We start from the raw sequence: 27,230 nt of genomic DNA on the forward strand, positions 1-27,230 counted from the left end.
GGGTTACTTAAGTATTTAAGAAAACTTTGCTTAGTGGGTCAGTGGTTTGAATTACCTAATTTAAAAAATACTAAAATTATTATTTATAAATCAAAGTAGCTGTAAATAATTTTTTAAGAAGCATATAAATTTCCTTTGGAAAACTGAAAATAATATATGATATGCATGTATTTACACTTTTAAAAATTTCATTTTTAAGGAAAAAAAGAATTATCCACTCTGATGTCAACTGTCTGTTCCTAAGAATAACATGGAGAGAATACACTTGTATTACCTCCTGGATTTTTTTTTTTTTCTTTGCAAAGCTGTCAGCTTTATCAGACACGTTTTTCACTTCTTCAGTAAAAATATTAGCCTAATTATTTTTATTGTCATCTTCTGATCCTTCAGCAACATTTGTAACATTTTATATTATCTTAGTATGATTAATAGCTTGATCCTACTGACATCACTTTTTGTTTCGTCTCTTACCCATGTTCAAAAAGAGGTGTGAATATAAACTGCCCTAGTGAAATGTTAAAAAAAAAAAAAAATTTAACACTTGTAAAGACTAAGAAGCAAGCAGAAACAGATTATATCTTCTCCTTTCCCTTTCCTTTTTAACAACAAAAAAACCCCAACTTAGATCAATAATTTCCCTTTTCCAGTTAATTGTATGTAATTTAAATAACTAATTACATTCAAACCCGTTATGTAACAGAGGGTTACTACAGTGTTTATGAGAATTTTTGTTAACAATGCCTACGGAACATCCTACATGTATGTGCCTAATACAAAGCTCAATCATTTTGGCTTTACTGATTTGACATACCTTAAACACATAGTAAAGATAAGAAAGAAGTATGGCTAGTGCTCCACAAGTTGTCCAACTAACTATGATCAAGACAATTGTCAAAAAGGGCAAGTCTGGTGATATCATCTTGATATCTTTAGGAAGTTCAGAGGGTCTGGAATTATAAGAATAAAGTTTAAAATATATATTAACAAATATTTATATAGTCACATATAAGAAGAAAACAATATAGTACCCTCCCAGTCTCTCTTGCTTATATGCAAATACATAAGGTAAACAACAAGGTATTTTTTAAATAAAGGCAAGTGGTCCCAAATATTTGATTTTAAGTTCTGTAATGTATTGTGATAACTCCTCTACCATTTTGATAATACTATAGCTGATACTTGTACTACAGGTGAAAAAATGTTACCAAAGATAATCATTAATTATACACTCTGTGCCATACATCTCCAGTCTTGACAGGAGGAGAAACTATGTTCTATTTCTTAAAGCCTAGAGACCACTCAGACCCTTGATGGTGTTACTATCAGAACCCCTATCTGAAGCATCTCAGAAGGGTGGAGGAAGAAGCATCACACCCACCATAATCCCCTCTGTGACAGGAAATCACATGACATGTCTGGTAAGGAGGAGTGGCAATGGGCACTAGATTGATGATTTACCAGGAAAGCCTACCAGTAACTTCAGATTCAAACTGTGTCATTGGGCCCATAATAAAACTCTAGGCAATGTTTTTGGAGCTTTTATATATCTCATCTAATCTGATCCTAATATCTGGTTTACAGTCTCTTGCCCCCTGGTTTCAATATAGAAGTCAGCATATAAAAGCAATATTATGGGAGAAACAATCCCTCCTGGGAAAGATTCACAACCACGAAATGTAAAACTATCTGCGTAATTTGTCAAACTTTTCTTATTAACTCTTGAGCGCTAAGGTCAAAATCAAATGTAACATTTAACTCTTAATAAATGATTAGCTTTCACAGACATAACTTTGAACACTAACCCATACTTTCGCTAGTTATATATTTTTCCTTAGAAAATAGTTTAGTAAAAATAATTAATTTCAGGTTCCTTATCAGAATATATATTTCTTCTTAAAGCAATAAGAAAGCTGTTAATCATTCATTCTTTACCTTTTCAAAGCTAGCCACAATGAAGAAAGAAGTCTCACAGATGCAGAAGACAGTAGGCCACTCCAGTAGGCAGTACACGTTCCAAACAGAAAGAGAATCAAGGATATCAGGGGGAAACACATACTCTGACAAGTTAAAATGACGGCATCTAATTCTGGTAACAATAATACATCCCACAATTCTTTAAACCATTTATACCTGTGGAGAAAAGAAAATATAAAAGCAAAAAACCCAACAACTGAAATTTAAGGACTTAATATTTGAGGTGTCTGACTATTCAAGAGAGTCTCTAAAGTTCCATGATACTTAATTTATAATTATACTGAAAAACAAATTTTTAATTCTTTGTATGGAACAAGTCATTTATTTTCCAAGTGAGCCTACTGATCTTTGAAGATCTGCATTTCAGTATAGCTTTACTAATCTATATTGATACTAGTAGAAAGTAATATGTTCTTTTTTTTTTTTTTTTTAGAAAGCCAAGTTAGTTGTAATGATGGAAAAAAAGATCTACATATTGATGCTTAACCAAAAATCTGAAAATGTGACTAAATTAAGAATGGAATGTTAACTAGGGTAGAGAGGTCTAAAATATACTTTTAAAAGTGATCAGAGAGGCACTGTTTCATCAATACCCTGTAATGATTTGCGTTTGAATCTAGGATACTCACAGATCATGGACCATATACACCTATTTACAAACATTAAAGGCAGTCTAAGTTTAGACTGATATACATAAAGTGAATAATTACTTTTGAAATGATACTATTGAAGTAGACATTGATATACTTATTAGACCTTTGCCTAAGAGAAAAAAAAAACCTCATTTAATGAAACAAGTCAACTGCCAAATCTGTATGAAAATTTATATTGCATTATGGAACCAAATATAATGTTACATGTAAAACACAATTAAAATCATTATCACAGATAATAAAACTTACCCCAACAGAAACTTAATGATAATTACAAAAGGATCAACTTTGTATGGTTTGGCTTCTTTATCCAACATGGTAGCATATTCTAAGCAACAACCTGGTGATTTAAAAAAAGTTACATGCAATTTACAGTAATTAAGTATGAGATATACTATATCCCACGTTCTCTAAAACAGCAACATATTTTATGTCAGAGAAAGTAAGGGTCTTCATTACTATCACAGAGACTCTTCTTGAAAGATTAAAAATAGCTGTAATTCAATGGTTCTTATATTAGAGTACACATTCAATCACTTGTAAAAACAAATTCAGGAAGTCAAAGCTGGGGTTTCACCAGCTGTATTTTCACAAAGCTCCACAAGTGATTTAAAAAATTAGCTTTATGGGACAAAATTCTGATATAATTCTTCTATTTAAACATATACAATTTAGTGGTTTTTAGTATATTCAGAATTGTACATCTATCACCACAGTCTTAGAACACTTTCATTACCCACAAAAGAAAGTTTTCTTTTAACTATTACCCCCCAAATTCCCATCCTTTGGCAACCAGTAATCTACTTTCCTTCTCTAAAGATAGGCCTATTCTGAACACTTCACATACATGGAATCATAATATGTGGTCTTTTGTGATGGTCTCCTTCCACTTTTTTCAAGATTCATCCATGTTGTAACATATACCAGTATTTCATTTAATTTCTTTTTAATCAAATTCCTTTTATTCCATTGTATGATTATACTACATTTTATTTTTCCATTCATCAATTGACAGACATTTGGGTTGTTTCTGCTTTTTGGCTGTTATGAATAATACTCCTATGAACATTTGCATATAAGTTTTTGTATGAATATATGCTTTCATTTTTCTTGGTTATATTCCTAGGAATGCAGATGCTGAGTTATGCAATAACTCTGTATTTAGCCATTTGAGGAATTGTCAGACTGTTTTTCACAGTAGCGACACTATTTTACACTCCTACCAGCAGTGTATGAGGGTTCCAGGTTTTCCACATCCTCATTAAAACTTATTATTTGTCTTTTTAAAATTATAGTCGTTCTAGTGGGTATAATCCACAGGTGATTTTTGATAAGCATCCTTGGTTCAGAACTACATATTTAATTGGCTGGATACATAATCCAGTACTTAAAGCCTCTAGATTAACCAGCATCAAATATCCCCTAGATGTACATTCTATATGTCTGAGAATCAATTATCAAGTCAGTTGAAACCAAGAAAAACGAGACCTTTTTCAGACTTTCAAAACAAGATAGACATTTATACTTAAGTCTGGTTCTGGTTGATGTCATAGTGTCAGAATAATTTTTTTTTTTTTTTTTTTTTTATAAAGAGTCTCATTCTGTCACCAGGCTGGAGTGCAGTGGCACGATCTTGGCTCACGGCAACCTCTGCCTCCCGGGTTCATGCCATTCTCCTGCCTCAGCCTTCCGAGTAGCTGGGACTACAGGCACGTGCCACCACGCCTGGCTAATTTTTTTGTATTTTTTTTTTTTTTTAGTAGAGACGGGGTTTCACCGTGTTAGCTAGGATGGTCTGGATCTCCCGACCTCGTGATCCACCCGCCTCAGTCTCCCAAAGTGTTGGGATTACAGGTGTGAGCCACCACACCCAGCCAGAATAATCTCTTAATTAAAAGGCTGGGTCTGGCACAGATCAACTGAATATTGCTTACCACTTCCTGGAATATAGGTTAAATCAGGTTAAAATTAACACTAAAGGCAGACTTGAAATTGTATAAAAGTAACTGAAGGGCACTAAGTAGCTGTAGAAAGATTTGAGTGGAGGGGATTTATGGACTGCTGCTTTAATATATTCAGGCCAAATTCTTTTTTCCCTGCTCCTGCATCCCTTAATCACTGTCCAAGCCCAACGAAACAAAGTTTTAGCCTCCTGGGAAACTAATAACTGCTATACTCCAGGGAAGGTTTTGTCCATTGTACTACAGTTTCTACATCTGCTTCTCCAGATCCATTCTCCACCCCTCACTTTTTCCTGAATTCTGGGAGGCTGACTTTTATAGACTGGCTTCTAGGTAAGTTCAGGAATTAAGAGGTATCAGCAGATAGGAGGGTAGGAGAAAATAAGGTTAGTGTATGTATTTCCTCATCTTTTTCCTGCTGAGCCACAGGGTGGCAGTGGTTGTAGTGTTCCTGCACCCAAGGCTACAGCTCCAGGAATGTTATCCACTCCTAGAGCCCTCTAGGTTTGTTCCTTCTCTTGTCCTGGTACCTTGGAGTACCAGCTGGCTCTGTTACTAGTTTAGCATCTTATCATTTCTTGTTGGTTTCTCTTAACCCTGCACATATACCTTTGAAATAGTCCATTATAATCTCAATTATTCCATTCAGTATGCCAGGATCTAACTGACACAGTTGATGCAGCTCAAATATTACAGTAAATGCCTACTGTGTGCTTGGCACTATCTTAGGCACTAGGAATAGAATGGAGAACAAGATCAGGCTCTACATTTTAAGAAGTCTTCAGACTATAGGAAGAAAACTTCAAGTGCCAGGGTATAAAATGGAGAAAACAAGTGAGGAATTTTCTTGGGGATGTCTTAAAACTTAAGAGGATCCCAAACTCTTGCAAATTTGGGAGAGAGGGACGATAAATTTAAGAAATCATCTGTCTTGTTTAGCCACATGTAGGATGACAAGGCAGCAAGGAAGCATTGGCTCTTGGAAGGAAGGAGGGAAGGAGGAAGGAACAACAGATGGACGGTCAGAAGGAAGGAAGGAAAAATGGAAGGAAGGGAGGAAGGGAGGGAAAGAGGAAGATGAAAAAAAGAGATGGGAGGGGAAGGAAGGGAAGAAAGAAAAGGAAACAAACTAGGATGACAAGGAAGGAAATTAGGGAGTGAGTGTCTCTTATTAGAAGTATACATATTATGAACGATTCTTGCAGCAGCAGCAGCAAAAAAAGAACAGGGATGGGGATTGGTGGGAAATAACCTGAATCTGATCACACCTATAGCTCTAATTATCAATTTATAGAAAATAGAAAAACATGTTCAACTCCAGCAAGGGGATGGAATCAGTAAACTCCAAACATAGAAAATGCAAAAGTATAAAAAAGTTTTATTTGATAAATTATAAGGGGAGAAAAAGAGATGGAGAACAGACCTTACAGATAAAGAAACAATTCAGTTCTGACAATGAAAGTTGTCAGAATCAAAATGGAGTCACTGTTTTTTTGTTTTTTTTAAAAAAAACAAAAAAATAAAAAAACCCTGACAAATAGAGCCAGGGAAGGCTGTGAAGGGAGGGTTCTCATGCTTGTATACATAATAGCAAAACTGTCACAGAAGACTCTGCAAAAACCACAACTCTGCACAAAGGCCACTGCAACCTTACACACACACAAAAATACTTCTCTGAGGACATCTGCCCAGCAACTACTTGTCCAACCTCGGGCTGCCACCACCCTTGTTATGGATCCTTATAGGCAAGGATAATTATTTCAAAACAATTATGTAATCCTCCTCATTTTTTCTTTAACACCCATTGTCTTCCTTTACCTTCCTGAATATGCAAACAATTTACTATGACCTGTGGACTCCTGTTCCAATACCCTATTCCCAAATAAACATTATTTTCTTTTAGAGAGCCCCTCTCTGTTTGTTATTTAGGTTGACATGAAGAGTGTCCAGAGGTAGGACCTTGAATAGGATTACTTTTGGACACAGTTTGTGATGCTTAGAACTGGTGTGCAGTACTCATATGAGCCCCTGGAGCTCTCTGCTTCCACGGCACACCTTTTGTCAGGCCAAGACTCTCTCTCCCTCTAAAATCAAGGTAGAACCTCTTGACTTTATTCTGGATCTGGTAAATAAAGGACCTTACATCTCTCCTGGGATGACAGAAGACCTTTTGTCTTTTCTGGCAAGTCTTTCCTGGTTTAAAGACAAATGTCTTTGTGGTTTGAGGACCCGAGTTTCTACGGAATTTACATTCTGTTCGTTAGACATGTCTTTTCTAGGGAATTTACTTTTGGTTTTCTGTGTGTCAAATTTAATATTTTACGTGATCTGCATTCTACAGGCTACTTTACCCCAAATTTTGTTCCACAGCCTTAATTACATATAGGGGCCCAATTTTGTCAGAAATGTAATTTGGATCTAATTATCTTTCATAAACCAGTGAGTTTGTATTACTACTTTATAATTAAAATCTAATTATCTTTCACAAACCAGTGAGTTTGTATTACTACTTTATAATTAAAATTCCAAAATGAAATCTATAAGGCTTTTGAGTATGTCTATATATGTTCAGGTACATTTATACATATGTACATGTATTGGCATAGTTGGCCAAAAATCCCCTAAGAAATTCTATTCAGATTGGCTTCAATAAATGAGTACTCATACAAATTATATACTAATTAACCCAAGTGTCTTTTAGCTCAGTGACTTAAGTAAATCTTTAATAAATAAGCTGGTTCTCATCTATTAAATACTAATAAGTGACAGTTCAAATTACTTGTTAAATTTAAGGTTACTAAGAGTTAAATTTCTAGTTAAAAATAGAAATTAATTTATAATAACAATTCTAATTAATGTATATAAAATATATCAAAAATAATGTATTATTGATGAGAAAAATTATAAGAAAGGCATACAAATGTGTTCTTTATTGACAAAAAATAATTTTGTCTAATTTGGATGTACTTAAAGGTGTTTCAAAATATAGATTTAGAAAAAAATAGAAACAAGATAGAAAGGAACCAGTAAGTAAGAGAGAGATGTGAATAAAGTTATGGGTTGAGAATGTGTTTTTGGTAAGGAAGGTTAAAAACAAAACAGAATAGTTTTTATAAGAACAACTTATGTGATCCATTTTTGTCCTAAAGTAAAATGACTGGTTATTTAAGAAATAGGAAATACTTGGACAAGACAGAAAGGCTAAGCATGTTATCAAAGGTCTGAGTAAGTCATGAAAAAAGTTGATGAAGAGTGACTTTATGAAAGAAAATTCTGCATGTGATCAAATTGGCTATAAAAGAGATTTGTGTCTTTCTAAAGATTAAGATTCGATATTAAAGATATACTAATGCAAAACTAAAAATTTGGTCCCCTATGTAGAAGCAGCAAGGCTTTCTTGAAATATTCATTTACTCTTAGAAAATTGGAAAGGGTTTTGATTTTTAACTCTGAAATCTGTTTCATTAACAGCCATCCTCTACACTGTCCAGAGTTTCTGTTTCTGCCACATTTCCTCCTGAGATCTGTTCTTCCTCTCTCCCTTTGAGAAGGCCTCAGGGGATAACCTCTCTTTCAACCTTTTTGTCACCTCCTGTAACTTTTTTCTTCAGTTCTAACTGTACTGTTATGGCCTGAGGCCGAAATCTTCATCTAGAAAAACAATGTTTTCCTCTTGGATAACTTGATTCTATATTCTTGGCTTTTCTTGATACATCTCAATTGTTCCATGTAATCAGGAAACTATGTCACATGTTTTTACTTTTTCTAAGAGCCACTTATTCCTCTGTTCCCAATACTAGCTTTCTTGTTTATATTCCTCTATAATATGGGCTTACACTTATAACCTTAGACACATTTTTCCTGTATCTGATTAAATTCAAGTACCCATTCATCAGGTTCGTTCAAGTTCTGGGTTATCTAAATGAGTTTCCCATAAAAAAATGCAGTCACACTGCAACAGACTTTTCTTTATCTTTTGGTAATAAAAAACCTAATAAAGATAACACAGGGAATTACACAGTACTGATGTTTTATAGGATAATTTCCTGTGTTAATCTTTATTAATCTTAAAGCTTAGGATAACTGAGCTTTAAGAAGATTAAGATTTTTACATCCATACAACTTTCTGTATTGCTTTTGAAGTCTTTTACTACTTTAACCGAAATACTATTATTTCACAATGACCTGTGATCCTCTTTTGATCAAGCGTTTTGAACCTTTTGACATATTTGGCAAGCTTCCCAAAGATGAATTTTTTTTTTTTTTTTTTTTTTGGTGGAGGAGTGCAATGGTACAATCATGGTCCACTGTAGCCTCAACCTTCCAAGCTTAAGTAATCCTCCCTTCTCAGACTCCCAAGTGGCTGGGACTACAGGTGTATGTACGCCACCACATATGGCTAATTATTTTTTATTTTTTGTACAGAGAGGGTTTCACCATGTTGCCCAGGATAGTCTTGAATTCCTAGGCTCAAGTGATCCACCCTCCTATGCCTCCTAAAGTGCTCAGAGAACAGGCATGAGCCACCACACACCCGGCCGAAAATTCTAAACTAAGTCTTTTTTACCTAGAATTAATTTTCAGATTTTCTAGTTGGGCCCCTGAAAAGCCTCCAAGAATATATCTCTCATCTTGTAGAGATATTAAATGATTAGGCTTATTTGGTAAATTATATGGAAAACATTGTCAAATGATAAGTGATACTAGATCTTCTTTCAGTTATATTCATGTTATTGATATACTACAAAATTACATAAATTCATAGAAATCAAATATGTTATCAGTCATAATTTTGGCTATGTTAAATCTTCTTTAAAGTTATATTTGTATGGATATGTTATTGATGTCAGCATTTCTAAAAATTACATAAAATTGATAAAAGTCTGATGGTCCTGATATGATGCTGTCAGTCATGATTCTAGGTGATATCTTAAAATGCTGCATGTAACAGAAATAACTAAAATTTCCTTATCACTTTGGGGCTTTCATCAGATTTTAACCATGACTATGATAAGTTTCTGTCATCCACAGTTATTGTTTTAAATTCTTCTCCAAAAGCATTTGCAATCAGCTGTATTGCAATCAAGTTTTTCATGAAAAAACCTTAACAAGAACTCTTTCTTTTTTTTCTCCTTTGAAGACAGGGTCTCACTCTGTTGCCCAGGCTGGAGAGCAGTGTTGCAACTGTAGTTCATTGCAACCTTGAACACCTGGGCTCAAGTGATCCTCCCACCTCAACCTGCTGAATAGCTAAGACTGCAGGCATGTGCCACCATACCCAGCTAATGTATTCTTTTTAAACTTTTTTTTTTTTTTGTAGAAACGGGGCCTCCTTGCCCAGGCTGGTCTCAAACTCCAGACCTCAAAAGTCATCTTCATATCAGCAGGGCACGGTGGCTCACGCCTGTAATCCTAGCACTTTGTGAGGCCAAGGCAGGTGGATTGCCTGAGCTCAGGAGTTTGAGACCAGCCTGGGCAACATGATGAAACCCCTGTCTCTACTAAAATACAAAAAAAATTAGCTGGGTGTAGTGGTGGGCACCTGTAGTCCCAGCTACTGGGGAGGCTGAGGCAGGAGAATCACTTGAACCTGGGAGGCAGAAGTTGCAGTGAGCCTAGATCGAGCCACTGCACTCTAGCCTGGCGACAGAGCGAGACTCTGTCACCAAAAAAAAAAAAAAAAAAAAATGATCCTCATATCTCAGCCTCCCAAAGCATTGATATTACAGGTATAAGCCACCACACCTGTCCAATAAGCACTCTTAAACACAGATTTCTGATAACTTTAAGATTAATTAACTAAATAAAAATTTCCAAAACCCTGATAAAAAACTGATGGGCTCAGGAAACTGCTAATCGAAATCAAGCAGAACAAAAATTAATTACATGAGATTGACCAACTGATAGTGTTTTTATGACTTCTATTTGAAATGTTGGTTCTTCACTTAAAGGTTTTATTTTCCAGATTTAAGGAAAATTTATCTCTTAAGCAGGCAATTTGGTAAAGTATACTTTTCTGAACAAAGATGGAATCATATGCTTTTTCTCTCTACTTGGCTCCTACAAAATTTGGAAACTACCTGAGTATTCTTATGGCCGTATGATTTTTTTTTATAAGTCCAATAAAAATCTGTCCTCTCTTTATAACAGGACACAACTGGAAATATTGTATTGAATGTTAGTTATATTACCACGGCTTTATCAAAAATGTTATATTTGAGAAGATGCACAGAATATCTGACTTTAAGGGTTCCCAGCCTGATAGTGAGTAAATAAAAACTGTCAACTGCTGGCAGGCCTAGGAACCTTAAGACCTTAAAAACCTCAAGAGGTTTTTATTGTTTTTGTTTTTTGTGTGTGTGTGTTTTGTTTTGAGACAGAGTCTCGCTCTGTTGCCCAGGCTGGAGTGCAGCGGCATGATCTCGGCTCACTGAAACTTCTGCCTCCTGGGGTCAAGTGATTCTCGTGCCTCAGTATCCTGAGTGGCTGGGATTACAGGCATACAACACCATGCCTGGCTAATTTTTTTGTATTTTTAGTAGAGATGGGGTTTTTGCCATGCTGGCCAAGCTGGTCTCAAACTCCTGACCTCAGGTCATCAACCTGCCTCAGCCTCCCCAAAGTGCTGGGATTACAGGCATGAGCCACCATGCCCAGCCCTCAAGGTTTTTAAATCTGAGATTGCTATGTGATCAATGTAGAGAGAAAAAAATTATGTTTCTAAATAAAAGCTATAATACACCTGTTATTAGAATGTAGCTCTGTTCATTGTTTTCAAGTTCTTGATAGACTATACTACTTGATAAACTAGACTAGATCCTGCATTCTTCTAGATTCTTCCAATCCAACTTTCTTCCATGGAATTACTAAAAATGAGAAGTGCTTTATTCTGAGAGCCCTGTAAGCTGAAACTAGATGCATTTTAAGAAATAAGCCTCATGTTTGATGTATGGGCCACATAAAAAGTTCACCAAGGCACCTGATGTCATAATCAGAGTCATTCAAACTACAAACCAGGATGAGAAGTTGACACTTCCACTCTTCAGATAGCTTTTCCCAAGATGTCAGAACAAGACTTCATATCATGAGACCCTTACCCTTCTTAGTGACCTTTTTTACTTGAAGGATAATGGTCATTTGATGTATTCAACTGGTTGTGTTTAAGCCTAGGTTCATGGTTCAAAACTATTATGCAAACTGATCATTTTACTTTGTATTTCCCCTTTTTAAACTTTGTTTTTCTTTGTGTCTTCTCTGATTTATTTGAGCTGTGTTTTGTAATTCTCATTGTGGAGATCTTTTGCCTCCCTGGTTAGCTATATTCCTAGGTATTTTATTCTTTTTGTGGCAGTTGTGAATGGGATTGCCTTTCTGAAGTCCTTGCCAGAGCAATCAGGCAAGAGACAGAAATAAAGGGCATCGAAATAGGAAGAGAGGAAGTCAAACTATCTCTGTTTGCAGATGACATGACTCTATACCTAGAAAACCCCATAGTCTCGGCTCAAAAGCTCCTTCAGTTGATAAACGACTTCAGCAAAATTTCAGGATATAAAATCAATGTACGAAAATCACTAGCATTCCTCTATCTGTTAACTTGTTTAAATTTTTGTAGAAATACAACTCCTAACAGTTTAATGCTGGCCCAGCACTTTGAAATGATGGCAAAAGACTATGGAACAAACTAAGCTGAACTTAATAATGGACTCCAGGTAGACTTAGCTTCAGAGCCACTCCCTTCAAACATCCCTCAGTGCTCAAATGTGGCTAAAAGGTTTTTGACACTGACTCCTAGTCACCAATCATTACAATGTGGTATTAGACCAACAACCTGGGACAGGTCTATTCCAGCACCAAGGGATATCAAAATCTAACTATGGGGTGATTGATCAGTGATGCTTTTGGAGAAATATCTTAATCAAAAGGGGAAAATGTGAAACTGGCCAGAATCAACATGGTCATTTGTGTTAAAAACAAACAAACAAACAAACCCTGACAAATAGAGCTGAGGAAGGCTAAGAAGAGAGAGTTCTCACACTTGTATGCTTGATAATAAAACTAACACAAAAGACTGCAACCTGGAACAAAGGCCATATCAACCTTATACAGAAAAAAATTTCTCTGAGAACATCTGCCCAGCAACTGCCTGCTCAACCTCAAACTGGCATCGCCCTTGTTATTCATCCTGGTAGCCAAGAATAATCATTTCAAAACAATTGTAATCCTTTTTATTTTTCCTTCAGCATCCTTTGTCTTCCTTTACCTCCCTGAATATGCATAAGTTTACTGTAGCACACATATTCCCACTGCAGTGCCCTATTACAAATAAACATCATTTTCCTTTAGAGAGCCTCTTTCTGTTTGTTATTTAAGTTGACAAAACTTAAAGAAACGAATGACCAACTGGACTGTGTGGATCTTCTTTGAAAACTCTTTAAAATTTTTTTTAAAAAATTTGACTCCTGGCTGGGTGTGGTGGCTCACGCCTGTAATCCCAGCACTTTGGGAGGCCGAGGTGGGCAGATCACGAGGTCAGGAGATCGAGACCATCCTGGCTAACAAGGTGAAACCCTGTCTCTACTAAAAATACAAAAAAATTAGCTGGGCATGGTGGTGGGTACCTGTAGTCCCAGTTACTCAGGAGACTGAGGCAGGAGAATGGCGTAAACCAGGGAGACAGAGCTTGCAGTTAGCTGAGATCGTACCACCACACTCCAGCCTGGGCGACAGAGCAAGACTCCGTCTCAAAAAAAAAAAATTGACTCCTAAACAATGAATGGGTTAATGAAGAATATTTTTAAAAATTAAAATATTCCTTGAGACAAATAAAAATGGAAACACAATATACCAAAAGCTATGGAATATAGCAAAGAAAGTTCTAAGAGGAGAGTTCATAGCAATACATGCCTAAATCCAAAAAGTAGAAAGACTTCAAATAAAAAACCTAATGATGCATCTCAAGGAACTAGAAAAGCAAGAACAAATGAAAACCAAAATTAGTAGAAGGAATAAAATAATAAAGATCAGAGCAGAAATAAAAGAAATTGAGACTGAAAAAAATACATCAGCTATGAACCAGCTTCAGGGAAAAACAAAAAGATCAACAAAATAAAAAGTTGCTTTTTTGAAAAGTTAACCAAAATCTACAAACTTTTAGCTAGACTAAGAAAAAAAGAGAGAAGATGCAAATAAAATCAGAGACAAAGAAAGAGTTATTACAACTGATACCACAGAAATAGAAAGGATCATTAGAGAATATTATAAACAAATTTAACCCAACAACTTGAAAATCTAGAAGAGACGGATAAATTCTTGGACACATCCAGCCTACCAAGGTTGAATCAAGAAAAAAAAATAGGAAACCTGAACAGACCAATAACAAATAATGAGGCTGGGCATGGTGACTCACACCTGTAATCCCAGCACTTTGGGAGGCTGAGGCAGGCAGATCACCTGAGGTCAGGAGTTCAAGACCAGCCTGGTCAACATGGTGAAACACTGCCTCTACTAAAAATACAAAAATTAGCCAGGTGTGGTGGCACACACCTGTAATCCCAGCTACTTGGGAGACTGAAGCACAAGAATCACTTGAACCTGGGAGAAGGAGGTTGCAGTGAGCCGAGATTGCACTACTGCACTCCAACTTGGGCAACAGAGTGAGACTCTGTCTAAAAACAAACAAACAAAAACCAAGTAATGAGGTTGAAGCAGTAATAAAAAGTCTCCCATCAAAAACAAGCATGGGACCTGATGGCTATGCTGCTGAAATCTATCAAACATTTAAAGAACTAATATCAATACTAGTCAATATTCCAAAAAAAAACACTGAAGAGAAAGAAGTAACTCCAAACTCATTCTATGAGGCCAGCATAACCCTGACACCAAAACCATAAAATAATACAACAAAAAAAGAAAAGTACAGGCCAATATCTCTAATGAACATAAAGGCAAAAATCCTCTACAAAATACTAGCAAACTGACTTCAACAACATATTAAAAATATCATTCACCACGATGAAGTGGGATTCATCCTAGGAATGCAAGGATAGTTCAATATATACAAATCAATCAATATGATAAATAACACAAATGGAATCGAGAAGTATAAAATCATTTCAATAGATGCTGAGAAAGCATTTGATAAAATTCAAAATCCCTTTATGATAAAAACTATTAACAAATTGAATATAAAAAGAACATACCTCAAAACAATAAAGGCCAAATATGACAAACCCACAGCTAACATTATACAAAATGGGAAAAAAAAATTGAAAGCTTTTCCTCCAAGATCTAAATAAGACGAGAATGTCTGTTTTCACTACTTATTCAATAGAGTACTAGAAGTCCTAGCCAGAGCAACTAGGCAAGAGAAAGAAAAAAAGTACATCCAAATTGGAAAAGAAATGGTCAAGTTATCCTTGTTCACAGATGACATGATCCTAGATTTAAAAAATACCTGAAAACTCCACCAAAAAAAACTGTTAGAATTGTTTTTTTTTGAACTCAGTAAAAGTTTCAAGATACAAAATCAACATATAAAAATCAGTAACTTTCTATACACTAATAATGAAAAATCTGAAAAAGAAATCAAGAGGGCTGGGCGCAGTGGCTCATGCCTGTAATCCCAGCACTTTGGGAGGCTGCAGCAGGTGGATCATTTGAGGTCAGGAGTTTGAGACCAGCCTGGCCAACATGGTGAAACCCCATCTCTACTAGAAATACAAAAAAATTAGCTGGGCGTGGTGCCACACGGCTGTAATCCCAGCTATTCAGGAGGCTGAGACAGAAGAATCACTTCAACCTGGGAGGCAGAGTTCGCAATGGGCCGAGATCATGCCATTGCACTCCTGTCTGGGCAACAGAACGAGACTCCATCTCAAAAAAACAAATAAACAAACAAAAAACAAAAAAAATAAATCAAGAGAGTGATCCCATTTACAATTAAATTATATCTAGGAATAAATGTAACCAAAGTAAAATATCTCCACAGTGAAAAATTATAAAACACCAATGAGAGAAACTGAAAAAGACACACGAAAAAATAGAAAGCAATTCCATCTATGTTCATGGATTGAATGATTTAGCATTGTTAAACTGTCTATACTACCTCAAGCAATGTCTAGATTCAATGAAATCCCCATCAAAATACCAATGAGAGTCTTCACTGGTATAGGAAAAACAATCATAAAATCATATGGTACCACAAATGACTGCAAATAGCAAAAAAAGTCCTGAGCAAAAAGAACAAAGCTGGAGGCAATCACATTACCTGACTTCAAAATACACTACAAAGATATGGCAACCAAAACAGTTTAGTACTGGCATAAAACAGATACATAAGCCAATAGAACATAATAGAGAACCCAGAAATCCACTCATTTACAGCCAGCTAATTTTCACTAAAGGCAACCAAAACATACATTGGAGAAAGGATAGTCTTTTCAATAAATGGTGCTGGGAAAACTGGATATTTATATGCAGAAGAAAGAAACTAGATCCCTATCTTTCATCATATGCAAAAATTAAATCAAAATAAAGACTTAAATTTAAAACCCGAAACGACGAAACTACCACAAGAATATATTGGAGAAATGCTTTGGGACACTGGTCTGGGCAAAAATTTTTTGGGTAAGACCTCAAAAGCACATACAATAAAAGCAAAATGAGATAATATCAGGCTAAAAGGCTACTGCACAGCAAAGGCAACAAACAACAAAGTGAAGAGATAAGCCAAAGACTGGGAAAAAATTTTGCAAACTATCCATCTGATAAAGGATTAATAACCAGAATATATAAGGAACTCAAACAACTCAACAGCAAAACAAACAAATACTCTAATTTTAAAAGTGGCCAAAAGATCTGAACAGACATTTCTCAACAGAAGAAATACCAATGGATGGTCAGATGTGGTGGCTCACGCCTGTAATCCCAGCACTTTGGGAGGACAAGGCAGGCAGATCGCCTGAGGTCAGGAGTTTGAGACCAGCCTGAACAACATGGAGAAACCCTGTCTGTTGTGGGAAGTCAGGGACCCCAAATGGAGGGACCGGCTGAAGCCATGGCAGAAGAATGTGGATTGTGAAGATTTCATGGACATTTATTAGTTCCCCAAATTAATACTTTTATAATTTCTTATGCCTGTCTTTACTGCAATCTCTAAACATAAATTGTAAAGATTTCATGGACACTTATCACTCCCCTAATCAATACCCTTGTGATTTCCTAGGCCTGTCTTTACCTTAATCTCTTAATCCTGTCATCTCGTAAGCCGAGGAGGATGTATGTCGCCTCAGGACCATGTGATAATCGTATTAACTGCACAAATTGTACAGCATGTGTGTTTGAACAATATGAAATCTGGGCACCTTGAAAAAAGAACAGGATAACAGCAATGTTTAGGGAACAAGAGAGATAACCTTAAACTGACTGCTAGTGAGCAGGGCAGAACAGAGCCATATTTCTCTTCTTTCAAAAGCAAATGGGAGAAATATCACTGAATTCTTTTTCTCAGCAAGGAACATCCTTAGGAAAGAGAATACGCGCCTGAGGGTAGGTCTATAGACGGGCTCCCTGGGTGTGGCCGTCTTTTATGGTCTGTAGACTGTAGGGGTGAAATAGACCCCAGTCTCTCATAGTGCTCCCAGGCTTATTAGGAAGAGGAAATTCCCGCCTAATAAATTTTGATCAGACCAGTTGCTCTCAAAACCCTGTCTCCTGATAAGATGTTATCAATGACAATGGTGCCCAAAACTTCATTAGCAATTTTAATTTCGCCCCGGTCCTGTGGTCCTGTGATCTCACCCTGCCTCCATTTGCCTTGTGATATTCTATTACCTTGTAAAGTACATGATCTTTGTGACCGACACCCTATTCGTACACTCCCTCCCCTTCTGAAAATCTCTAATAAAAACTTGCTGGTTTTTGCAGCTTGTGGGGCATCACGGAACCTACCAACATGTGATGTCTCTCCCAGACACCCAGCTTTAAAATTTCTCTCTTTTGTACTCTGTCCCCTTATTTCTCAAGCCAGCCAACGCTTAGGGAAAATAGAAAAGAACCTACGTGACTATCGGGGCAGGTTCCCTGATACCTGTCTCTACTAAAAATACAAAATTAGCTGGGCATGGTGGCCCATGCCTGTAATCCCAGCTACTTGGGAGGCTGAGGCAGGAGAATCTCTTGAACCCGGGAGGTGGAGGTTGTGGTGAGCTGAGATCAAGCCATTGCACTCCAGCCTGGGCAACAAGAGCAAAACTCCATCTCAAAAAGAAAAAAGACATACCAATGGCCAACAGATGTATTTTTTTAAATGTTCAACATCACTAATCACCAGTGAAATGTACGTCAAAACCACAATGAGATATTACCTCACCCTAGTTAAAATGGCTTGTTAACAAAAAGACAAAAAATAACAAGTGATAATGAGGATACGGAAAAAGGGGAATGCTAGCACACAATTGGTACAAATGTAAATTAGTACAGCCATTATGAAAAACAGACTGGAGGTCCTTCAAAAAACTACAAATAGATCTGCCATATGACCCAGCAATCTTACTGCTGTATATATTATCCAAAAGAAAGGAAATCAGTCTATCAAAAAGATGTCTGCATCCCCATGTTTACTGTAGCACTCACTATTCACAATGGCCAAAATATGGAATCAACCTAAAGTCCATCAACAAGTGAATGGATAAAGAAAATGGTAATATATACATAATGGAATATTATGTAGACATAAAAAGAATGAAATTCTATCATCTGCAGCAACATGGATATAACTGAAGTACATTATGCTAAAGTGATAAGTCAGGCATAGAAAGACAAATATTATACGCCCTCATTCATATCTGGGAATTTGAAAAGTTGATCTCATGGAGCTAGAGAATAGATGGTTACCAGAGGGTGGGAAAGGTAAAGAGGAGTGGAGGGATGAAGAAAGAATGGTTAATGGGTATAAAAATACAGTTAGAAGAAATAAGGTCTAGCATTTGATAGCACTGCAACCTCTGCCTCCCGGATTCAAGCGATTCTCCTGCCTCAGTCTCCTGGACAGCTAGGATTACAGGCGCCCACCACCAAGCCTGGATAATTTTTTGTGTTTTTAGCAAAGACGGGGTTTCACCATATTGGCCAGGGTGGTCTTGAATTCCTGACCTCAGGTGATCCGCCCGCCTCGGCCTCCCAAAGTGCTGGGATTACAGGCATGAGCCAGTGCCCTGCCAGGATGACTATAGTTAATAATTTATTGTATATTTTAAAATAGCTAGAAGATTTGGAATGTTCCCAACACAAAGAAATGGTAAGTGCTTGAGTTGATGGATATCCTAATTATCCTGATTTGATCTTAACACATTATATGAATGTGTCAAAATATCACATGTACCCCATAAATAGGTACAATTATGTATCAACCAAATAAATTAAAAATAAAATACTTCTTAAAAAGTAATTTGAGGCCGGGTCCGGTGGCTCACGCCTGTAGTCCCAGCACTTTGGGAGGCTGAGGCGGGCAGATCATGAAGTCAGGAGTTCAAGACCAGCCTGGCCAACATGGTGAAACCCCATCTCTACTAAAAATACAAAAATTAGCCGGACATGGTTGCGGGTGCCTGTAATCCCAGCTACTTGGGAGGTTGAGGCAGTAGAATCACATGAACCAGGGAGGTGGAGGTTACAGTGAACCGAGATTGCACCATTGCACTCCAGCCTGGGCAACAAGAGCAAAACTACGTCTCAAAAAAAAAAAAAAAAAAAAAAAAAGGCATTTGATAATATTAGGGCACTATTGTTAATTTTTTGATGTGTATTATGGGGTTAAATGTTTTGCCCCTTTTTACGTCATAAATACTAGCAAATTATTATATGAAGATAATTACACTGCTTGATTCCTATATGTATTTTAAAAAATGACTTAATCTGGTTAGACTCAAAGTTATTCTTTCCATTAAAAATGACACTGATACAAAAGTGACAAGCTAAGAGAATGTTAATAATTTGCAGGTCTTAAGACCACAAATTTAAGGTCTCTGGACTAGCTTCCTCAAACTATTTGGGATTGGTGGTTGATAGTGGAAACGTAATAAAGATGCAGAGAAGGCTCATCATAAAATCACATGCTATTTTGGAATTTTCAAGAACAGAATAGTAGCTACTATTACGTGGCATAATTATAAAAAAATAAATAATAAAAAGGGAGTTCTAAGAACTCTCTTAATTATGTCTCCTGATTCAATATAACAGAATTATATATATAAACACATATGTGGAACTAATAGTCATTCTACTTTAATATTCATAACAAAAGTAACTTAAAAATTAGAAGCATTCTTACCTGTTGAGAAAAGAGAATATAACTGTCCTCTATAAGCAAGAAGGATATTAGATACGACATAAGCAGGAAGAGCTCCACCATGAAATCTAACTACCTAAAAAACAGGTAAGTCAATGGGCAACTCCTGAATATTCATGTTAATAAGTGTACTTTCACATAAAATTTAAAAGTTGCTCTTCAATTTATACCTGACATGGCTACAAAGATATTTCCAGTAATAAGTATCAAAAACTCTAAGTAAAATAAATGTTGAAAATACATAGCAAACTCAAAATGTATCTGAATTTTTCATCAAAGGCATAACAGAACATATAATTGAGTAGCATATATGTCCTGAAAAACTGTTTTTCAGAACACACTGATTATTTAATACGTTCCAGGCACAACAGTAAACACCTTATATGCATTATCTCATGTACTTCTCCCAATATCCTTTGAGGTAGTTCTTATCCCTATTCTATAGACAAAGAAATTCAGGCATCAGAGCCCAACTAACTTGTATAATTTAAAACATAATAGGCAAGTTACTTAGCTTCCCCTCTCTATGTCTTTATCAGTAAATGGGGACAATACTAGTATGTACCTTATAGGTAGTTATTAGGATTAGACATGCATATTTGTGTAAGGCATTCAGAATATTAACTCATATATAACAAGTTATGAGAAAATGTTAATTGCTTTATTAACTTTTTATGTCCTTCACTGTGTTTGAAAATCTTATGGAACTATAAGTTTTAAAATCAGTGCCTAAGTTCATAATCATTACGTTATAGTGCAAGTCATTCTATCAGCTCTCTATAAAATACATATAATAACAAAAACAAGCATTCCTATACACCAGTAACAGACAAACAGAGAGCCAAATCACGAGTAACTCCCATTCACAATTGCTACAAAGAGAATAAAATACCTAGGAATACAACTTACAAGGGATATGAAGGACCTCTTCAAGGAAACTACAAACCACTGCTTAGGGAAATAAGAGAGGACACAAATAAATGGAAAAACATTTCATGCTCATGGATAGGAAGAATCAATATCATAAAAATGGCCATACTGCCCAGAGTAATTTATAGATTCAATGTTATCCGCATCAAGCTACCATTGTCTTTCTTCACAGAATTAGAAAAAAACTACTTTGTTTCATATGGAACCAAAAAAGAGCCAGCATAGCCAAGACAATCCTAAGCAAAAGTAACAATGCTGGAGGCATCACTCTACCTGACTTCAAACTATACTACAAAGCTACAGTAACCAAAACAATATGGTACTGGTACCAAAACAGATATACAGACCAAAGGAACAGAACAGAGGCCTCAGAAATAACACCACACATCTACAACCATCTGATCTTTGACAAACCTGACAAAGACAAGCAATGGAGAAAGGATTCCCTATTTAATAAATGGTGTTGGGAAAACTGGCTAGCCATATGCAGAAAACTGAAACTGGACCCCTTCCTTAAAACTTATATAAAAATTAACTCAAGATGGATTAAAGACCGAAAGTAAGACCTAAAACTATAAAAACCCTAGAAGAAAACCTAGGCAATACCATTCAGGACATAGGCATGGGCAAAGACTTCATGACTAAAACACCAAAAGCAGTGGCAACAAAAGCCAAAATTGGCAAATGGGATCTAATTAAACTAAAGAGCTTCTGCACAGCAAAAGAAACTATCATCAGAGTGAACAGGCAACCTACAGAATGGGGGAAAATTTTTGCAATCTATTCATATGACAAAGGGCTAACATCCAAAATCTATAAAGAACTTAAACAAATTCACAAGAAAAAAAAACAACCTCATCAAAAAGTGGGCAAAGGATATGAACAGACACTTCTCAAAAGAAGACATTTATGTGGCCAACAAACATATGAAAAAAATCATCGTATGTTTTTTTCAACATCGTCTGGTCATTAGAGAAATGCAAATCAAAACAACAATGAGATACCATCTCACACCAGTTAGAATGGCGATCATTAAAAAGTCAGGAAACAATATGCTGGACAGGATGTGGAGAAACAGGAATTCTTTTACACTGTTGGTGGGAGTGTAAATTAGTTCAACCATTGTGGAAGACAGTGTGGCAATTCCTCAAGGATCTAGAACTAGAAATACCATTTCACCTAGCAATCCCATTACTGAGTATATACCCAAAGGATTATAAATCATTCTACTATAAAGACACATGCACACATATGTTTACTGCGGCACTGTTCACAATAGCAAAGACTTGGAATCAACCCATCAATGATAGACTGGATAAAGAAAATGTGGCACATATACACCATGGAATACTATGCAGCCATAAAAAAGGATGAGTTCATGTCCTTTGCAGGGACATGGATGAAGCTGGAAATCATCATTCTCAGCAAACTAACACAAGAACAGAAAACCAAACACTGCATGTTCTCACTAATAAGTGGGAGTTGAACAATGAGAACATATGGACACAGGGAGAAGAACATCACACACCAGGGCCTGTCCAGGGGTGGGCGGCTAAGGGAGGGATAGCTTTAGGAGAAATACCTAATGTAGATGACGGGTTGATGGGTGCAGCAAACCAACACAGCATGTGTATACCTATGGAACAAACCTGCACGTTCTGCACATGTACCCCAGAACTTAAAGTATAATTTTTAAAAAAGCCTTAAGTTCTTTTAATGTCACATTATTAAAAGTAAATTTACTTTAAAGCATGTTCTCCATTCCACAGAATTTTTTTAGAACATGTATAGACTTCTCTGGCAACCTGAGGGAAACTATGGAAGTACAAGCTTACTATAAAAGTTGCAGAAAATTTCAGAAAATTCAGGGTCTCCCTAAAGTCCCTCCATGAATTCCCAGGTAAAAAGAGAAGAGAAAAAATCAGAAAACGTACAGCCCATACTTGTGACTTATAGTTTACAGCTCTGCATGGAAGGTTGGGAAAGCTGAGTAAAAGGGAAAAGACCATTTTGCTACCTAATACCAAATCATACATGACAAGCTGGGAAATATACTCTACTTATCGAGAGTTAAGCAACATAGCAGGCTCAGGAGTCAGACTCCTGGATTTAGATTCCAGCTTTGCCTCTCACTAGCTCTGTGTCCTTGGGCAAGTTATTTTACTCCTCCATTACTTTCCCTTCTCTCTATATATATCCTCATCTGTAAAATGAGATAAACAGCACTTACCTCACAGGGATGTAAGGCTTAAATATGTTCACACTTGCATAAGGCATTTGGAATAGTAACTGGTACATGGTAACTGACTGGAAAATATTAGCTGTTATTGTTACCTTTAATGCCCTTCACTGTGTTTAGAATATTGTAAGAGGTCCCACACAGAGCATTCTGAATATAAAATTTCTTTTAATGATAGAGGATCATCGTTATGAGTATTAAATGTTATACTGGGCTACAGATACAGCTGGGTATATAAGATACTACTAAACTTAACAATCATAAACTGGCCTCCCTGTCTCATAGTCAAACTGTAGCCATACTTAGTATTTAGTGCAGTATTTCTTTAAATTTTGACTTACATGTCAACATTGAAAAATTAAAATATTTCATCTAAAAATTCAGATTTCTAGGTTCTCTTAAAAGCTGAAGATCTGGCAACACTGGACTTCATTACTGCACAGAAATGATTTACTAGCGTTTATGGAATTCTCTTGAGAAAGTAACTTTCAGTTCATGCTTTGCCCTCTTTTTCGTAAGAGCAGACTACAGAATATGTGAATATATTTTCCTCTTTCCTTTTTCAGAAAAAAATTTAACTTTATGAAAAGTTATCTATTGAAGGCTGAAGTTTCTCTTTATTTTCTCCAATCTTCTGTGACTCAATCAGCAACATTCAAAATATGTATTATTTTTTAAAACAAGTAAGATATACAACTTTCATTCATTCTCTTACTACCTACAAGCTACATTTTTAAACAAGCATGAAGGAAGAACATCTTACGTCTTTTCAATAATTTGAGAATTTAATTCAATTAATACAAATTATTTTTTTAATTTTTTTATAGAACTAAGCTTAAGCTTCAATAATATAAATTCTTTAATTGACATTTTAAAAAGAATCCACCTTTGATACTGTAACACCTGTACATCCTCAGTCTTTAGAAAGATTTCCACATCAAAACAAGAATACTAGGTCTGTCCTCTTTTGGTTTACAATTATGCTTGATTCTAGTGTATCAAGCTGACTTGACTTTTCTTGTTACTAAACTGAATTATGAGACACAGGAATTATATGGATAAGAGAATATGTTATATTCCTACCCCAAACCACTGTTTACAGTAATATGCCCTTTCACCATACTAAATATACAATAGTATGAATTTGAGAGATTTAACTGGTCCCTTAACATTTTTTTTTGAGATGGAGTCTTGCTCTGTTGCCCAGGCTGGAGTGCAGTGGCGCGATCTCTGCTCACTGCAAGCTCCACCTCTGGGTTCACGCCATTCTCCTGCCTCAGCCTCCCCAGTAGCTGGGACTACAGGTGCCCGCCACCACGTCCGGCTAATTTTTTGTATTTTTAATAGAGACGGGGTTTCACCGTGTTAGCCAGGATGGTCTTGGTCTCCTGACCTCGTGATCCATCCACCTCAGCCTCCCAAAGTGCTGGGATTACAGGCGTGAGCCACCGCACCCGGCCCAACATTTTATAATATGTACTGTAATTATCCATGATGCTATTTTCCAACTTATACTAAGATTTTAATCTTCTCTTCCTAATTTAGCACAAAATTTCTATATATTAACTTAGAATTTTATAATGTTCACAAATTAATAATGATCATAATCTAGTTCTCACCAAGTTGCTCTGAGGATTAAATGAGATAATGCATATACAAAATGTTTCTAATTTAATTTTGCCTTGTGAGTTTTATTACAGTATTAAATGACTTAGAGTTAAAACAAAATTCTACTATGCCTGCATTGCAAAATACAACAGACCAAAAAAAAGTGAAAGGAATAAAGCTATAATACAAATTTGACTGAATATTAAAACTATATAACTTCCCTAACTAATCAATTGTTATCTTATTTATGTCCAGGTTGCACAATTGTGCAAATTATAGTGATGCTAAGTAATAGCTATAGTTCTACTGCTTTATGCAGCATTTTTGTAATATTATTTGCTAATGAATTCAACACATTTATCTTTAATAGAATTTATGTTTACCTTTTACAAACTGAGCATGCACAATATAAAAAGTTATTTGAAAACATTCATTTATATGGCAGAGCCTACATATTTTATTGTACTATGAATTTATAGTATGAGCAACATGAAATCTTTTTTCTTTTTCTTTCTTTCTTTTTTTTTTTTTTTGAGATGGAGTCTCCCTTTGTTGCCAAGGTTAGAGTGCAGTGGCACAATCTCAGCTCACTGCAACCTCTGTCTCCCAGGTTCAAGTGATTCTCATGCCTCAGCCTCTTGAGTAGCCAGGACTACAGGTGTATGCCAGCACGCCTGGCTAATTTTTGTATTTTCAGTAGAGGTGGGGTTTCACCAGTTGGCCAGGCTGGTCTCGAACTCCTGACCTTAAGTGATCTGCCTGCCTTGGCCTCCCAAAGTGCTGGGATTACAGATGGGGGCCACCATGGCAAACCATGAAATTCATTTAGGCAAAAATATTAATTTGTTTGAGAATCAGGTATCAGCTCTCATTTTTTGGATGTATCAAACATGAAAGAATCACCTTAAAGCAGGGGTGGGCAAATATGGTCTGTGGGCCAAGAATAATTTTTGGATTTTATTCAAGTGTAAGAAGAATGAAAAAGAAAAAAGGAAGAAGACAGAAGCAACTACAGCAGTGGCAGTAGCAAAAGATACTGTATGTGGTCTGCAAAAAATTATTGATTATCCAGCCCCTTATGGAAAAAGTCTACAACCCTTCCTTAGAGTTATCTATTCATAAAGCAGTAAATAATCAACCAGCCAGGAATCTCTCTTACCTGTCCAAGTATTTGTGAAAAGGAAGTCTTAACTGTCACCTAGTTTAAAACAATTATTGAAAAAAAAGGTTATTTTCCTCTAAACTCCTTTACATTTTATTAAATTGAGCACTTATGCATATCTCTAAGCATAATAATTGATTTTCTATAATGGTAAACCTTAAAGGCACTCAAGATCTTAAAGAATCTTTTGAACCACCATGCAAATTGCATTAAAGTAGAGTGTTACTGTTTAGTATACTTTCCCACATATCTAATTATTTGACAGCTGAGTGAATGCTATTTTGCTCCTTTACTACCTAAAATATTTAATTAAGTAGAATATCTTATTACCATATCATGCCAGCTAAAGAAATTTAAGCCAAAATAATATTTTAAAAAGAAATTCATCCTTAATTATCTCTACCATAAATACAACTTTTTGATAATTAGGAAGTCTATTTGATATTAGAAAGGAGATAAATATTTTTAGGGAAGTTTAAAATGATTTTGTCAAAATATGGACTTCTTGAAGATATGCAGTATTTGTAAAAAAAATGGACATTTTGAGAGCATGCAGTAGTTGGAGTCAAATTTTTATCACAATTTTTTGTATTGCTTTAATATTATAAATATGAACATGCAAATTAAAAACTACTATGGCCCTGCAAAACCCTGAACTGTTAGAAACAGGATGCAAGATATCAAAGCAATAATAAATTCCATGAAATCTAAATTAATTCATAATATAAGTTCAACTGAAACTTGGCTGGAGGAACAGATTCTATTAATTTGACAAAATCAATCCTAGTTTATCCTTGAAAAGTTAGTTCTAACAAAGAATCCAAACATTTAAGCTTGGTTTAAAGCAGTTGAGCAGAAATAAAATATTTCACATAAACCAGAAGCCTATGTTGTCATAACCACTGAAATGAGTACTTTAACCACTTAAATCTGGAATCTAGGGGCTCTTCATTCATGAATCCATAAGTAACTAAAATGTTACTCTCAAGTCTATCCCCCTTAACACAAAGAGATGTACTTTGATTACAAAATAAACACAATAGGTATGAAATCACACATTTTAATGACTAGCAGAGCTTAAAATAATTAGTGAAAAGGAAAGAAGATCCTTAAGCTAACAACCAGTAGAGCTATACACCATTAAGTATCATGTCAGTTACTGCAGTAAGCCCATGTCAGCTGACCTCATGATGTTCTTCAATTTATAAAAAAGATTCTGGACTTGGGGCTTCCAAATTTAGAAGGTTAATCTACAGTCTCATTTTTTTGCTTTATCTTCTATTACTTATTAAGATGTATACATTTGCAAATGGCCCAGCTATGGAGATGCTAAGGTGGTGTTAATAGGAAAAATGAA

The 27,230-nt window shown here is 35.8% G+C and overlaps 1 protein-coding gene across 6 annotated transcripts in view; it reads right to left on the reverse strand.

Moving 5' to 3' along the window:
• The window catches only part of PGAP1 (post-GPI attachment to proteins inositol deacylase 1), a 93,704-nt gene that overhangs the window by 12,067 nt on the left and 54,407 nt on the right, over positions 1-27,230 (reverse strand). For 5 of the 6 annotated variants that reach the window (NM_001321100.2, NM_024989.4, NM_001321099.2 and 2 more), the window contains 5 exons: positions 25,871-25,909; positions 19,917-20,010; positions 2,877-2,967; positions 1,933-2,130; positions 812-947 (listed from right to left, as the gene is read on the reverse strand). In NM_001321100.2, coding sequence (NP_001308029.1) covers positions 812-947; positions 1,933-2,130; positions 2,877-2,967; positions 19,917-20,010; positions 25,871-25,909 — 558 coding nt within the window. Of the gene's footprint in view, positions 1-811; positions 948-1,932; positions 2,131-2,876; positions 2,968-19,916; positions 20,011-25,870; positions 25,910-27,230 lie in introns of those variants that run through there. The other variant, XR_007082522.1, reaches the window with a different exon arrangement.

The sequence above is a fragment of the Homo sapiens genome, chromosome 2 (genome assembly GCF_000001405.40).
Source record: "Homo sapiens chromosome 2, GRCh38.p14 Primary Assembly".
Taxonomy (NCBI): Eukaryota; Metazoa; Chordata; class Mammalia; order Primates; family Hominidae; genus Homo; species Homo sapiens.